This window comes from Homo sapiens, chromosome 4 (genome assembly GCF_000001405.40).
Source record: "Homo sapiens chromosome 4, GRCh38.p14 Primary Assembly".
Lineage (NCBI taxonomy): Eukaryota > Metazoa > Chordata > Mammalia > Primates > Hominidae > Homo > Homo sapiens.
This window is the reverse complement of record NC_000004.12, coordinates 105,242,787-105,259,538: the sequence shown is the minus strand read 5'-3', so window position 1 is coordinate 105,259,538 and position 16,752 is coordinate 105,242,787. Positions and strand designations below refer to the sequence as shown.

The 16,752-nt window shown below is 35.5% G+C and overlaps 1 protein-coding gene and 1 long non-coding RNA gene across 10 annotated transcripts in view; one reads left to right on the top strand and one right to left on the bottom strand.

Annotated features, from left to right (window-relative positions):
- Window positions 1-16,752, bottom strand: part of TET2 (tet methylcytosine dioxygenase 2) — a 133,929-nt gene that overhangs the window by 20,265 nt on the left and 96,912 nt on the right. For 4 of the 9 annotated variants that reach the window (XM_024454103.2, XM_024454102.2, NM_001127208.3 and 1 more), the window contains 2 exons: window positions 16,612-16,705; window positions 15,761-15,969 (listed from right to left, as the gene is read on the bottom strand). The exons of 1 other annotated variant lie outside the window; for it this stretch is intronic. In XM_024454103.2, coding sequence (XP_024309871.1) covers window positions 15,761-15,969; window positions 16,612-16,705 — 303 coding nt within the window. Of the gene's footprint in view, window positions 1-15,760; window positions 15,970-16,611; window positions 16,706-16,752 lie in introns of those variants that run through there. 4 more of the 9 variants (XM_006714242.4, XM_047415840.1, XM_047415841.1 and 1 more) reach the window with 3 other exon arrangements.
- The window catches only part of TET2-AS1 (TET2 antisense RNA 1), a 181,528-nt gene that overhangs the window by 93,343 nt on the left and 71,433 nt on the right, over window positions 1-16,752 (top strand). The window lies entirely within an intron of this gene.

Below are 16,752 nucleotides of genomic sequence, written 5' to 3'. Positions count from 1 at the left end.
CAAAATGAGTTTGAAAAGAAGTCTAATCTAACTCTGTATTAAGCTGTGGCATAACCACACACAGAACTATTTCAATTGACTTTTAAACAATTTTATTGCAATGTAATACACATACAGAAAAGTGCACATAATTTTACAGTTTACAAATGGAAAATACCCAGTTAAGTAGAACCCACACTAAGAAACAAAATATTTACTATCCCCTGGAATTTCCCCTCATTTTGCCTTTCAGTCACTCACTGTCTGTCTCCCTAACAGTAACTTCTCTAAGAATATAGTAGTTCTGCCTATTTTTATGTTAATAATGCTTTCTTTTTTACAGATGGGGTCTTGCTATGTTGCTCAGGTTGAACCTGAACTTCTGGGCTCAAGTGATCTTCCCGCCTCAGCCTCCCAAATAGCTGGAACTATAGGTGTGTGCCACCATCAGTAGCTTGTTTTGCCTACTTTTATACTTGATATATACATAGGTATATGGAATTATATAATATAAGCTTATTTGTGTGTGCTTTTTCCATTATGTTTGGGATATCCATCCAAATCACTGCATGTAGTTGTACTTTATTCATTTTCATTGAGTACCATATTCCATCTTATAAAAATGTGATGAATTATTCTACCATTGATGGGCATTTGAGTGCTAGGTCCTAGTTTCTGGCTAAAATATAGTATTACAGCTTTATAGCCCTAGTTTGATACATTCTAATGACAATAAACAAACATACAAGTAAGCAAAGAGAGATAAAACAACTTACAAGAAAAAATATTCAGGTAGCACTGTAAATTATTTTTAAATTAATGTATGTATATTGTGATATAAGTAAATAATTGTTAATATCAAAAACCAAGAATTTCAGTGTACAAGAGAAGCAGAACAAAAGATAATAATACTCTGTCAACTATGAATAGGAAAAATCAGTATGAATTAATGATTTGAGTTAATCTCAGATTTTCTTTCTAAAAAATAATTACTTCATGTATTTGCCCATTAAAAAAGCCTAAAAGTAATGACACCTCCATAGCAGGGAGCACATCTAGACACTGATTGTGATCTCTAAATATAATTTCCCATCAAAATCTCTGAAATTTGAGAAGTAAAGATTCTTGCCATGCATTTATTCTATCATTCTTACAAACTATATTAAATGGTAACTAACGGTTGATGAGGAAAAGTCCTGTAAAGTATTCCAGCTAATAAATGCAAAAGGAATTTTACAATTAGAAATGATCACTTTACACATGTCAGCAAAAATGGCAGAATAAGGATCTCTGAAAATTTTATCCTCCATAAAAGCAATAAAAGTACTGATAAATATTGTCAGAATCAGCTTTTTCAGATCTGGAAATTAGCAAAAAGCTTGCAGCAATATAGGGAGAATTTGTTCAAGGGAAAAAAAGACAGGATTTCAGTGAGAAGAGTGAGCTCTGTGGTATTTTAACTTTCCCCACAGCTCTATGGTAGCCTTCAAATCAAAACAGCCCACATTTATTATGAAAAGCAGCAGCCAGGCTGCCACTAGAGGAGGCCAGATTGGTTGGATATACTCTAGACTGGTTGGATATACTCTAAAGTCCCATTCACAGAGACCTTACATTATTTGACCTGTTTGGTAGTTTCCTGGAAGATCCCACTAGTAAGGTTATCTTTACTTTATCTAACTTGGAGTTCACCTAGTGTGAACCACCTTTTCCACAGAGGCATTTGTCAAATAATCATAGGCAGCTGTTGAATATTGTCACTGACTCAGGTGTAGCTAATAACTGGAGCAAAACATAAGATAACTAAAAAAGCTTAAAAGTAAATTACCTGGGAAATGAGATGATCCACAGGAGGCTTTGAAAATATATTCCTGGGAATTTAGAAAGCCACATGCAACTGTAGGGCCCACAAAAGACCTCAGAAAGCCCTAAACTCTCACCACAGTCTAACCTTGAGACTCTGCACAAGCAGGGAATAAAGGCTAATCCAGAGCTGCAAATAGCCTGGCTGAGTGTTGAATGCATGCCCCAACACACATACAGACCCCTTTGTCAAAGACTGACTTATTGATCTCAGGCACCTAAGGAATTCTGTCTAATCCTTAGCTGACCTCTAAGTTAACCAAGCAAAGACTTCGATGGCTATCTATGAGAAACAATACAAACTTTATAGGAGTAGTTAAAAAGAAATAAACAACAACCACCAGAAACAGTAACATATTCTGGGCAGGGGGTAGAATCTGATTTTCAGATTTACCAGATTATATTATTTTATTTATTTTTATTTTTGTAGAGACAGGGTCTCACTATGCTGCCCAGGCTAGTCTTGAACTCCTGGGCTTAAGTGATGCTCCTGCTTTGGCCTCTCAACGTGCTGGGATTACAGGCACGAGCCACTGCTCTCAGCCATTACATTAGTTTAAAATGTCTAAACAATTAAGAGAAACAGAAACAAAGTATGGCCCCTATAAAGTAGTCAATAGAGGCTATTCCTGAAAAAGTCCAGATGTTAGGCCACTGGACAAAGACTTTAAGTCAGCTATTTCATGTATGCCCAAATAATGAAAGAAAACTGTATTTAAATAACTAAAGTAAGACTACAGCATTTTATTAAATACATGAGATAAACTCAAGAAAAAGATATTATTAAATAGAATTCTAAAGCTGAAAGTGTAATAACTGCAGTAAAAATTAGAGGGGTTCAATAGCAGAGTTGAAAAGGAGGGGAAAAAGGGACTTGAAGATAAGTCAATTGAGATTATTCAGTCTGAAAAATGAAAACATAAACAGAACCTCAGAGATCTGTGGAAGACCATAAAGCATACCAACATAGACATAATGCAGGTCCCCAAAGTAGAGGATGAAGAATAAAGAATAGGAAGAATATTTGAAAAATAATGGCCGAAAACTTCTCAAATTTGATGAACAACATCAATCTACATGTCCAAGAAGCTCAACTAACTCCATGTAACATAAACCCAAAGATATGCATACATATAAACATCATAACCAAACTGCTGAAAGCCAACACAAGAAAATCATGAAAACTGTATGATTATCATGTATGCAGGATTCCCAATAAGATTAATAGCTGATCTCTGATCAGAAACAATGAAGACCAGAAGGCAGTAGAATGACATAGAACCACAAGAAAAAGACTGCCAACCAAGAATTCTGTATTTTGCAAAACTATCTTTCAGAAATGTATTATATAATAAATTAGGACATTCTCTGATAAATAAGAGTTTATTGTTTTCAGGCATGTCCTACAAAAAATACTAAATGTATACTTCAGGCTGAAAGGAAAGGACACTAGACAGTACCTCAAATACACCTAAGAACTTAAAGAGCACCAGTAAAGATAATTACATAGGTAAATATGAAATCATATATGTATTTTTTTGTAACTATTTTTCTCATATTTGATTTAAATGACAATATCAATCTGATTTAAAAGAAAAAACATAATCTGTGTTAATGGGCATAAAATAAAATGTAATTTGTATAATAGCACAGAGTAAAAAGAGGGAATGTAGCTATATGGGAACAAAGTTTCCTTATATTGTAATGAAATTGGTATTACTTCAGACTAGCTGTTATAAGTTAGTTGTAATCCCCAGGGAAACCATTAAGAACATCAAAAAATTTAGTAAAAGACAAGGGAATTAAAACAGTACACTAGAAAATATCTATTGAACACAAAAAAAGACAAGATACAGACAAAATGGCAGACAAATCCTACCTTATCAATAATTATGTTAAATGTATATAAATTGAAAAATTAAAAGGCAAAGACTAGCAATATCAATTTTTAAAAAGATTTAACTATACGATATCTACAAGATATACACATTTTATAATAAAAAGTTCAAGCCATTAAAATGATGTAACAAATGTAAACATACATGTAATAAGCAACAGAGCACCAAAATACATGAAGCAAAAAATGGCAGAATTAAAGGAATAAATAGATAATTTACTAATCCACTTTCAATAATGGCTAAAAGTAGATAGAAGATTAAAAAGAAAACAGAAGTTGTAAAAAACACTATAAACCAACTAGGTCTAACAGACATCTATAAAACATGCCACCCACCAACAGCTGAATATACACATTCTTCTCAAGCACACGTGAAACATTCTCCAGGATGGACTGTATGTCAAGTTATAAAACAAGTCTAAATAAATGTAACACTGCAAAAATTGTGCAAAGTGTGTTTTCTGATAAAATTATACATGAATAACAAGCAAATTTGGGTAATAGGTAAAAATATACTCCTATACAGTCAGGAATCAAAAAAACATGATAGAAATTAGAAAATACCTTGTTGTAAATGAAAACTCGACATACTCATATTTTATTGGATGGAGCTAAAGCAGAGCTAGAGAACAAACTTCTAGAAAAACACAAACTACTAAAATTGACTGAAGAAGAAATAGAAAATCTGAATATACCTACAACAGGTTAAAAGATGTAATCAAGACTACTTAGATCTGTCAGAGAAATGAGGTCACAGGGAAAATCACTGCCCTCACAACCAAGGAAGCAGATGGATAAAAAGAATTACAGCTTACTGGAGCAGAAACCTCTGTAGGAACCAGTGTTGGGATAGGAAAATCTGAAATATAATTGATGAATTGCTGGAGGTTCAGTGTGAACAACTCCAAAGGCATCCAGTCATAATAGGTTCCTCACAGTTTTGTGAGTTTTCTACATTCAGGAGCCAGATGAGGTTCTCACAATGAATACTAGAGAAAAATCCCTTCATGCTTCCATAGGAGGAGGGGAAAACAATTTTTGAAAATGCCATATACCATTCTATTGTTCCTAAAAAGTTCTGCCATCAGGCTAGGTGTGATGGCTCATGCCTGCAATCCCATCACTCTTTGGAGGCTGAGGCAGGCAGATTGCTTGAGTCCAGGAGTTCAAGACCACACTGGGCAACATAGGAAAACTCCATCTCTAATAATAATAAAAAAATTAGCCAGGCATGGTGGCATGTGCCTGTAGTCCGAGCTACTTGGGAGGCTGAGGTGGGTAAATCACTTGAGCCCAGGAAGTCAAGGCTGCAGTGAGCTGAGATCATACTACTGCACTCCAGCCTGGGCAACCAGAGTGAGACCCTGTCTCAAAAACAAAGGATAATAAAGAAATATTATGAACAAATGTGCCCACACATTTAATAATCAAGGTGAAATGGACCAATTCCTTGAAGGACACAACTACCAATATTTATGCAAAATAATAATCTAAATAGGCCTATATCTATGAAAGAAATTGAATCAGCAATAACTTTTCAAAACAAAGTACCAGACACAGATGGTTCATTCTGATTTCTACCAAAGTTTTAAGGAAGAAATTATATGAATTCTCTACAATCTCAATTAAGACAGAAGCAGAGAAAATACTTCATAACTTATTCTATGAGGGCAGCATTACCTTAATACCAACACCAAAGTCTTTACAATAAAAGATAACTACAGACTAATAGCAACCATGACCATGAATGCATTCATAAATAATGTATCACAACCATGTGGGATTTGCTCCAGGTATGCCAGTCTAGTTCAAAATTTGAAAATCAATTAATGTAATCCATTTCGTTAATAAGCTAAAGAAAAATCATATGGTAATATCAATAGGTGGAAAAAAAGTATTTACAAAATCCAACACTGATTAATGATTTTCAAAAGCCTCTCAGTAAACTAGGAAAAGAGGGGAACTACCTGAACCTGATAAAGAATATATACAAAACCATACAGCTAACATATTTAATGTAAATAAAGAATATCTACAAAACCATAGAGCTAACATAAAATTGAAGATTTCCTGCTGAGATCAGGAACAAGGCAAGTATGTTGCCTCTCACCAATGCCTTTCAACATCATACTGGAAATGCTAGCTAATACATTAAGACAAGAAAATAAAAGGTATACAGATTAGAAAGAAGTTGTCTTTGCTAGATGACATGATCACCTAGAAAATATGAAAGAATGACCAAAAAAAAAAAAACTGGATCTAAAGTGATTATATAACATGGTTGCAGGAAACAAGTTTAATATACAAAAGTTGATCACTTTTCTGCATACCAGCAATGTACAAGCAGAATCTGAGATAAAAATACATTACCATTAGCACCCCCCCAAATGAAATATTTATGTATAAATCTAATATGTACATGGTCTATATGGGGAAAATGCAAAATTCTAATGAAGGATATCCAAGAAAGAGATGTTCCATGTTCATGGATAGGAAGATGTGTATTGTCAAGATGGCAGTATTTCTAACTCAATCTAGAAATGCAGTGCAATCTATCAAAATTCCTGCAAGATTTTGAGGATACTGACAAAGTAATTTTAAAGTTTATATCAAGAGGCAAAAGACCAATAAATGACTGTATATATAGCCTTTTCAGACTGCTTTTTTTACTTAGTAATAGGCAAAAGAATAGCCAACTCAATACTGAAGGAGAAAAACAATGTCAGAGGACTGACACTACATGATTGCAAGACTTACTCTAAAGCCTAAGTTAACAAGATAGTGTGGTATTGGTGAAAGTCTAGACAAATATATCAATGGAACAGAATAAAGAGTCCAGAAACAGACCACTTAATTATAATCAACTGATCTTTGACAAAGTAGCAAAGGTAATACAATAAAGCAAAGATAGTCTTTAAGAAATGGTACGGGAACAACTGGACAACTCCACATGCAAACAAGTGAATCTATACATAGTCTTTATAGCTTTTGCAAAATTAATGCAAAATGGGTCACAGCCCTAAATGTAAAATGCAGAACTATAAAATTTCTGGAAGATAACACAGAACATATAGATGACCTTGGTGTTGACTTTTTAGATACAATACCAAAAACATTATTCATGAATTAACTGATAACCTAGACTTCATTAAAATTAAAACTTTCTGTTTGTTCTGCAAATGGCACTGTCAAGTGAATGAAAAAATAAGACACAGACTGAGAAAAAATATTTCTTACTCTTACTGTCAATCAAGCTACTGTGCTCTGTGTTATTTACTCAAAGGAGCTGAAAACTTTTGTCCACACAAAAACCTACATACTTTTATAACAGCTTTATTCATAATTGTCAAAACTTGGAAGCAACTAAGATGTCTTTCACTATGTGAATGGATAAATCAACTGTGATAAACCAGACAATGGAATATTATTCAATGCTGAAAAGAAATGAACGATCATGACATGGTGGAAAATTTAAAAGCTTATTACTAAGTGACAAAAACCAGTCTGAAAAGGCTCCATATACTGTATCATTCCAACTATATGACATTCTGGAATAGGCAAAATTATTGAGATAAAAAGATCATTGGTTGCTAAGGGTTAGTGGGGTAGGAGAGAAAAATAGGTAGGGTACAGAGGACTTTTAAGGCAGTGAAATTACTCTGAATGATACTGTAATGGTGAATGAGTATCATTAAACATGGATCCAGACTCACAGAATACATAACACCAAAGGTGAACTCTAAACTATGAACTTTCATCGACAATTGTCAATGCAGGTTCATTGACTGCAACAAATGTACCATTCTGGTAAAGGATGTTGATAATGAGGGAGGCTATGCACATACAGGGGCAGCATGTACTTAAGGAAGCTCTGTGCCTTTCATTCAATGTGCTTTTACCCTAAAATTGCTTTAAAAATAATCTATTTTAAAAATGTTTAAAAATTCCCACAAAGGAAAGCCCAGGGGTAGAGAATTTCCTCAAACATTTAAAAAAGAGTTAAACCAATCCTTTGTAAACTCTTCCAAAAGATAGAGAAGGGAACATTTCCCAATGCATTTTGTGAACTCAGAATTACTCTGACACCAAAACCAAAGATATCACAAGAGAACTAAAGATCAGTATACCTTATCAACAGAGATGCGAAAGTCCTCAATGAAATACCTGCAAACAGACTCCAGCAATATATAAAAAGTAATACACACTGAGGCCAAGTGGGATTTATTCCAGAAATATAATGTTAATCTAATGTATAAAAATGAATCAATATAATATACCATATTAATAGAATAAAGGAGAAGAACGCATGATCATTTCATTAGATGTAGCCACAGCATTTGAGAAAAGTTCAACACCCTTTCGTGATAAAATTATTCAACAAACTAGCAACAGAAGGGAACTTCTGAACTTGACACAGTCTTTTTTTAAACAAAACCTACAACTAGTATCATACTTAATGGTGAAAAACTAAAAATTTCTTTCTAAAATGAATAAGACAAGGATGTTTGCAGTTGTTAATTGTACCTGACATTTTCTGGAAGTTCTAACTGGGTAATCAGGCAAGAAAAAAACATAAAGCCACCCAGATTGGAAGTGAAGAAACAAAACTATCTCTACTTGTAGATGACATAATCTTGTATGCAGCAAATCCTAAGGAATCTACCAAAAAAAGTTAGTGCTAATAAGCTAGTTCAGCAAGTTGGTAGGATATGAGACCAATATATAAAAATGAAATTTATGACCATATATTATCAACAAAAAATTTGATTTTGCAATAGGATAAAAAAAATACATAGAAAAAATTTTAACAGAAGTACAGGCCAGGCGTGGTGGCTCATGCCTGTAATCCCAGTACTTTGGGAGGCCAAGGCAGTCAGGTCACTTGAGGCCAGGTGTTTGAGACCAGCCTGGCCAACATGGTGAAACCCTGTCTCCACCAAAAACACAAAACAATTAGCCAGGCATGGTGGCGCGCACCTGTAGTTCCAGCTGAGGCAGGAGAATCACTTGAACCCGGAGGTGGAGGTTGCAGTGAGCTGAGATGGCAGCACTGCACTCTGGACTGGGCAGCAGAGCAAGACTCTGTCTTAAAAAAAATAAAAAGTGCAGGACTTTGTACATGTTTCATCCAAAACATTACTGAAAGAAATTTAAGAATAAATGGAAAAATAGCCTGTGTTCATAAATTGGAAGCTTTAATGTTAAGATATCAATACTCTCCAAATTGACCAACAGATTCAACAGAACCCCAGTCAAAGTCCCAGAAGGGGGTTGGATGTGGTGGCTCATGCCTGTAACCCCAGCTCTCTGGGAAGCCTAGGAGGGAGGATCTCTTTAGCCAGGAGTTCAAAACCAGCTTGGGTAATATAGTAAGACTCCAGCTCCACCAAAAAAAAAAAAAAAAAAAAAAAAAAAAAAATCCAGAAAGGAAACGGAGAAGCTGATCTTAAAATGCATATGGAAACCCAAGAAACATGGTAGGCAAAAGTACAAAGTTGGAAGACTTACCTGTCTTGATTTCAAAATTTACTACAAAACTACAGGAATCAGCACAGTGTGGTACTGGCATAAGAAAAGTCATGCAGATTAACAGAATTAAGAGTCCAGAAATAAACCCATACATCTTGGTCAGTTAATTGAAAAAAAACAGTCTTTTAACAAATGGTGCTGAGAAAACTGGACAGCTACTTGCAAAGGAATGAAGTTGGACTCTTATCTCTCACCATCAAATTAACTCAACATTAATTAAAAATCTAAATGTAAGAACTAAAGTTATAATACTCTGAGAAGAAAGCATAGGTGTAAATCTTTCAGATCTTGAATGAGGCAATGATTTCTTAAATATGACCCCAAATGCACAAGCTGCCAATTAAAAAGAAATTGAGTTTCATCAAAATCAATTTAAAACTTTTGTACTTTAAGGACATTATCAAAGTGAAGCGACAACCTGTGGGATAGGAGAAAATATCTGCAAACCAGGCATTTGACAAAGTTCAAGTATCAACATAACATATTCTTACAACTCTAAAAATAATACAATTAAAAACATATAAGTAGACTTTTCTCAAAAAAATACATGGTCAATACACACGTGAAAAGATGCCCAATATCAGCCATTAGGAAAATGCAAATCAAAATCACGAGATAAACTTCATACCCACTTGGATGGTTACAATTAAAAAGACAATAACATTTTCTTGAGGATGTGGAGATACACTGGAACCTTCATACATTGTTGGCAGAAATGTAAAAGCATAAAGCTACTTTGGAAAACAGTTTGGCAGTTCTTCAAAAAGTTAAACATAAAGTTACCATATTACTAACAATGTCACTCCTAGGTGTATATCCCAAGGTAACTGAAAACATGTTCACACAAAAACTTGTACACCGATGTTCATTGCAGCATAATTTATAATCGCCAAAAAGTAGAAACGATCCAAATGTCAATTAACTAATAAATGGAAAAAGAAAATGTGGCTGGGCACAGTGGCTCATGCTTGTAATCCCAGCACTTTAGGAGGCTAAGGTAGAAGGATCACTTGAGGCTGAGTTTGAGACCAGCCTAGCCAACATGGTGAAACCCTGTCTCTACTAAAAATACAAAAATTAGCTGGGTGTGGTGGTGCACAACTGTAATCCCAACTACTTGGGGGCTGAGGCATGAGAATCACTTGAACCCGGGAGACAGAGGTTGCAGTGAGCTGAGGTTGCACCATTGCACCCTAGCCTGGGCAACAGAGCGAGACTCTGTCTCAAAAAATGTGGTGTGAATATATACGTGGACAAAAAAAAAAAAAAGAAAAAGAAAAAAGGTACTTTTTTTTTTTAATAAAATGAATGAGACTTGAAAACATTGAGGTACATGAAAGAAGCCAGAGAGAAAGGCCAAATACATGATTTCACTAATACAAAATGCCCAGAATAGGTAAATCCAGAGAAACTGAATGTTTATTTGTGGTTGCCACTTAGAGGAAGGAAGAAGGGGAGAAGGGGAAGTGACTGCCTAATAAATACAGGGTTTCCTTCTGGGAATGATGAAAACGTTCTGAAACTAGGTAGAGGTGACATTTGCATAGCTTTGTGAATGTACTGAAACAACTGAATTGTATACTTTAAAAGGGTAAATTTTATGGTATGTGAATTATATCTCAATTAGAAAAAAACATGGGGGAATAACTTAAAGTTGATTTTCTAATAAAGTGGCTACTAAAAGGTATATTTATTTTGATAGGGGTCTTTCAAATATTGTTAGAATTAGCACATGACAGTCATTTTAATATGACTTGAAATTTGGCTCATGGTAAATGATATAAAGGGCAAATATTAAAATGTCATCTATATAACAGATTTCTGCAAAAATTCTTAACCTTTGATTTACTATTTGGACTTCTAATTGTAAAATATTTTTAAAGTAAAAATTAGGTCAGTTATTCAAATGTATACAGCATAGAAAAAATAGCAAAATAATTTAACTTTATATAACTAAATTTACACAACATCAAGTGAGAGAAAACTGTCAACTTGAAAACAAAATAATAGAAACAGGCAATGATCATCAATTGATGTGAAACTATCTGGTGAAAGTTTGATGAAGAACATAATGATGGATCAGGCTGACAACTAAACATGCTAAACACTCTTAATATCACTAAAATGGGAAACAAACAGACATTATGTGTCTCCTGATGTATATAAATAAGATGATTTTAGCACTACTTATGAAGTGTTTTTGCCAATGTATACTATACATGCACACATACTTATATTACTTAAAAATCAGCTGGGCGTGATAGCTCATGCCTGTAATCCCAGCACTTTGGGAGGCCAAGGTGGGCGGATCACTTGAGGCCAGGAGTTCCAGACCAGCCTGGCCAACATGGCGAAACCCCGTCTCTACTAAAAGTACAAAAATCAGCAGGATGAGGTGGCACATGCTTGCAGTCCCAGTTACTCAGGAGGCTGAGGCATGAGAATAGCTTGAACCTGGGAGGTGGAGGTTGCAGTGAGCTGAGATTGGGCCACTGCACTCCAGCCTAAGCGACAGAGCGAGAGCCTGTCTCAAAAAAAAAAAAAAAAAAAAAAAAAGAAAAGAAAAAGAACCAGTCAAACTACCAGTCCACAGAAGATACTGGGGATAGAGGAATAGGTTAAAGTAAACAAAAGAACCAAGATGAAATCGGCCAAATCCAGAATGTGGGGAATTTTACAGAGAAAATCACAGTTTCTTTAAAAAACAAATTCAAATTCATAAAGAAAGGGGAAGGGCTATTATAAATAAAAAGAGGCTTGTGAATCACAGAATTTATCTTCTAAATGGAGAGAATTTTATGAGAGGAAGTTTTATTTAATAGCTATCCCAGACAATGGACATGAACTGGGATCACACTACTCAGAAGTGTCAATCATGTGGAAGGGCTTTCTTTTTCTCATTATCATTTTTGTTTATGTGTGTGTTTTCTGAAATAGAATCTAATCAGATAATTTGAACAAACACAGTCTAAATATTAAATGATAAAGTCTTTACCTGTTAGAAATACATCCTGAAATGTTAACAGGTAAGATGGTAAGTTATCTGTCTTCTGCTTTCAAACACTAGTGGGAGTGGATGTGGGAAAAATATATGAAAAAATATTGATAAAATGTTGATAAATATTGATGCTGTGTGATGGGTCCATGGAATTCATTATATTGCACTTTTCCTTTTATGTTTGACAATTTTTATAATATAAAGTTCCTTGAAATGTTTAACATCACCCACCATGGCAGAAGGCATTTCTGGCTTTGATTTCCTTATGATGACAGATACACTCCCACAACTCTTACTTGCCAAAAAAATACTGGTTAGACTTAGTCATAAAATGGAAATCTCAAAGGGAAATCTTTAAAGAAGAAACAGCTGGTTTGGCTCAAAGGAAATGTAAAAATCAGTTTTTACTTTCCTACTGAAAGATGCACTCAGAGTTCTTTTCTGAACTCACAGTGGGTGGTTTGGAGCATGTGGACACAGGGATTTGTAAGAACTCAGTGATGAGGTTCACACAGCTTTGAACATAAAACTGAGTCCGCAGCCCCAATTTGAGATTATTCTATTCTCTGTTCTTGGCAAAAAGTTGTAATTTTCATTTCTGCCAGCCATAAAATAAAATCTATTTATGGGGTAGAAGAAACTTCAAAAGCTATTTCTGAGTAAAGTCTGTATTGACATTGGATACGTGTCTATTTTAATCATGTATTTAAGTATTAAAATTTTTTATTTTGGAGAATTGCTCTAAGTATGCATAAGCATAGCTTAAGCATTATCTAAATGATTATTCATCTTTACCTTGAAACTAGACAAAAAGCAAAAGTGTACAGCTGTGCTTTTAAATTGTCTTCATATTTGAAGCATGTCTTTTAATAGTTTTGTATCTGCCTGACATTTAGAGCAGTTAAACTAACAAACTACAAGCTTTCTGAGACTCTGGTCCAACTATTTTTCATGGTTTTCAAATGCAAAATAATAAAAGTTCTTCATGTAATTTTTTATATGTCAGATTCCATTTCAGGCATTGGCATTTATAAGAATTATGGAAAAGCTGGCTGGGCATGGTGGCCTACACCTGTAATCCCAGCACTTTGGGAGGCCAGGGTGGGTGGGTTACCTGAAGCCAGGAGTTCGAGATCAATCTGGCCAACATGGTGAAACCCTGTCTCTACTAAAAATACAAAAATGAGCCGGGTGGGTGCCTGTAATTCTAGCTACTCGGGAGGCTGTGGCATGAGAATCACTTGAACCCGGGAGGTGGAGGTTGTGGTGAGCTGAGAAAAATATTAGAGATCTATGTTAATGAAAATTAAATTCATTACAATGAATGAAATATAGTTTCCAGGAAACTTCAAGAAAATCAAACATTTTGCAATAGGACTATTTTTGAAAAGAAATTTTAAAACTATCATTTTCACAAGAGGTTCTTCAGTGATTTAGAATCTCAAACCGTCAAGTCTAAGAGATATTATGCTTTAAAGACAATGCAGTATTACTGAGTTCTTGAAAGAAATGCTATTACCAATATGAGCACAAGTTGCCTTAATTTTTAATTTTTTTTCTAATTAAAGGCACCTACATACATTTTTAAAAATTTTTCTTCAGAAAGAGCAAGAGGAGTCAGGGTAGATTAAAAAAATATTTCAGGCTGGGCACAGTGGCTCATGCCTGTAATCCCAGCACTCTGGGAGGCCGAGGCGGGCGGATCACCCGAGGTCAGGAGTTCCAGACCAGCCTGATCAACATGGAGAAACCCTGTCTCTACTAAAAATACAAAATTAGCTGGGTGTGGTAGTGCATGCCTGTAATCCCAGCTATTCGGGAGGCTGAGGCAGGAGAATTGCTTGAACCCAGGAGATGGAGGTTGCAGTGAGCCGAGATCGCACCATTGCACTCCAGCCTGGGTGACAGAGTGAAACTCTGTCTTAAAAAAAAAAAAAAAATTTATGCTTAAAGTAGTCCATCATAAGTTTATAAGTTACATGTTATGAATCAGCAATTTCTACCTTCCAATTAATCATTTGTAAAAGTGGTCAGGTACACACCATAAAATTTTTGGATCATAATTATCATAGAAAGTCAAGTCACACTTTCATATAGAAAGAGTAACTTTTCTAAAGAGATTATTTATAATTGATTTGTCTCCCCACAACCCAGAGAGAGAAACTGTGTTAACATAAATTTAGTAAAACCATGCTAGTTAGAGTTTTAAACAGCAAAGGACAAATTTGGCTAGCTGTTGCAATGAGCAGTATGAGCATTTCTTATAAGCTCAGCAAATGATTCTATAGTTTGGTGGATGCAGAGAAAAAGACACTAAAGGAAATAGTGCAAAATTAAAATTATTTTAAAACCAATCGTGGGCAAAATAACTTGTAAGATTTCTGGCCAGGCGCGGCGGCTCATGCCTGTAAGGCACTTTGGGAGGCCGAGGTGGGCAATCACCTGAGGTCGGGAGTTCGAGACCAGCCTGACCAACATGGAGAAACCCTGTCTCTACTAAAAATACAAAATTAGCCGGGTGTGGTGGCACATGCCTGTAATCCCAGCTACTAGGGAGGCTGAGGCAGGAGAATCTCTTGAACCTGGGAGGTGGAGGTCGCGGTGAACCAAGATCGCGCCATTGCACTCCAGCCTGGGCAACAAGAGCGAAACTCCATCTCAAAAAAAAAAAAAAAAAAAAAAAAAACATTTCTGTGTAGCACCGTGAACATTCATCTATTCTTTTAGTGTTATACAGGATTATCAGCACAGTAGAGGAATATTAAAAATGAGGCTTTTTCCAACTGAAGGTTTAGACTTCATGCAAAGTGGATGGTGTTTAAAACAAAACATTAGCAACTGGATGCACTAAATATATTTAAGTGCATACTCTTGCAGTTCTATTCTAAATTCTTATATTCCTGGAAAATAATATATATCCATATCCAGTAATTTGCTGATCATTTAGCAGCAGTAAAAGTAGAAGCAGTTTTGATTACTATTGTGGAAATAATGAATAGTTTGAATGAAAGTAAAAATCAGTTCTATTTCTACAGAACTTCTAGGCTTTGTATTTTGTTTTTGCTACATACATATGGAAGGTATTTGACCTGGGAATCCCAAAGTTTCTCATTAGACTTACTTTCTGTTTCAGATACTGCAACATGGAAGTGGAGTCAATACATACTAATATAGTGGCCAGGCACACAGGAGCCGTCACTTGTAGCATGTGAGCACATAAACAATTTCAAGTTTATGGTATAACTGAGGCCATGTGGTTACAGACACTCTGACTGCTCCTAATTAATGGCTAAACTGTACAATTCAGATAATGAAATCATCTCAAGTTATTCACATTAGCAAATACAACTTCTTATCGCATGACTGCCAAACAGGCATTTTGATGCCCATTTTATAAATGTAAAAGTGCACGCTGAACTCTCTTCCTTTCAACCAAAGATTGGGCTTTCCTATCAGTGGCCGCAAAGAGGGGAGAGGCCCTGGGCTTCACTTACTCTTCATTCAAGGCACACCGGCGATTGGTGAGCGTGCCGTATTTCCTCAGCGTCTCGGTAAGCTCCGAGTAGAGTTTGTCAGCCAGAGACAGCGGGATTCCTTCCCACACCAGGATGAGAATCACAATCACTGCAGCCTCACAGGTGTGGCCAGCTCGCTCCCGCACCAAACACAGTAGCTTCTCTTCACTGCTGCTTCTGCGAACCACCTGCGTGGATCACCATTCCATCCCAAACACCCCCCACCCCAACCAAAACAAAACAAGGGTCACTTGCAGCAGATAAGGGCACTTATGTATGTATATTTTATCATGTTTAGATCACAATTAGGGCAACATTTATCAGCATGTCCAATGTGCCTTTTGCTGCCCATCTATAAAAAGTGGGCTTTGACCCTAGTATCAGAACAAGGAGAGATGCAAAACTACTCCTTAATGTTTAGCAGACTATACCCAGTACAGTGGGGACAATTAAATGCTACCTGCATTAAAACCAGAGCTAGATGAAAGATACATAAGTCTTAGTTCAAGGTTTTCATAAATGACAATATAAAGATTAACTGAAGGTATTTAAAAGTTTAAGGACAACTTCACATTCTAAGAAGGATTATACATTTAGCAGGCACTAGAATGGACCTCTTCCTCATCACTAAATTATTTCAATTAAATACAATTTGTTGATTTTAGAACTAATCTGCCTCTTCTTAAGAGATAACACATGATAAAAAATACAGGTAATGTTCTTTTTAACTGGCATGAGTCTTTGATCTGGGTAACCCAATTCTCAGGGTCAGATTTACAAATCAAAATGCCCAAGATTTAAGACCAAAGGCTTTATCAAGTCACACTTACCCACTTAGCAATAGGACATCCCTGAGAACTTTTGCCTTCTTTACCAGTATAGATGACTCTTTCAATCCTAATAGCTTTACCCTTCTGTCCAAACCTTAAAGAAACCCACAGAAACACACACACATACAATTAGCAAATGAA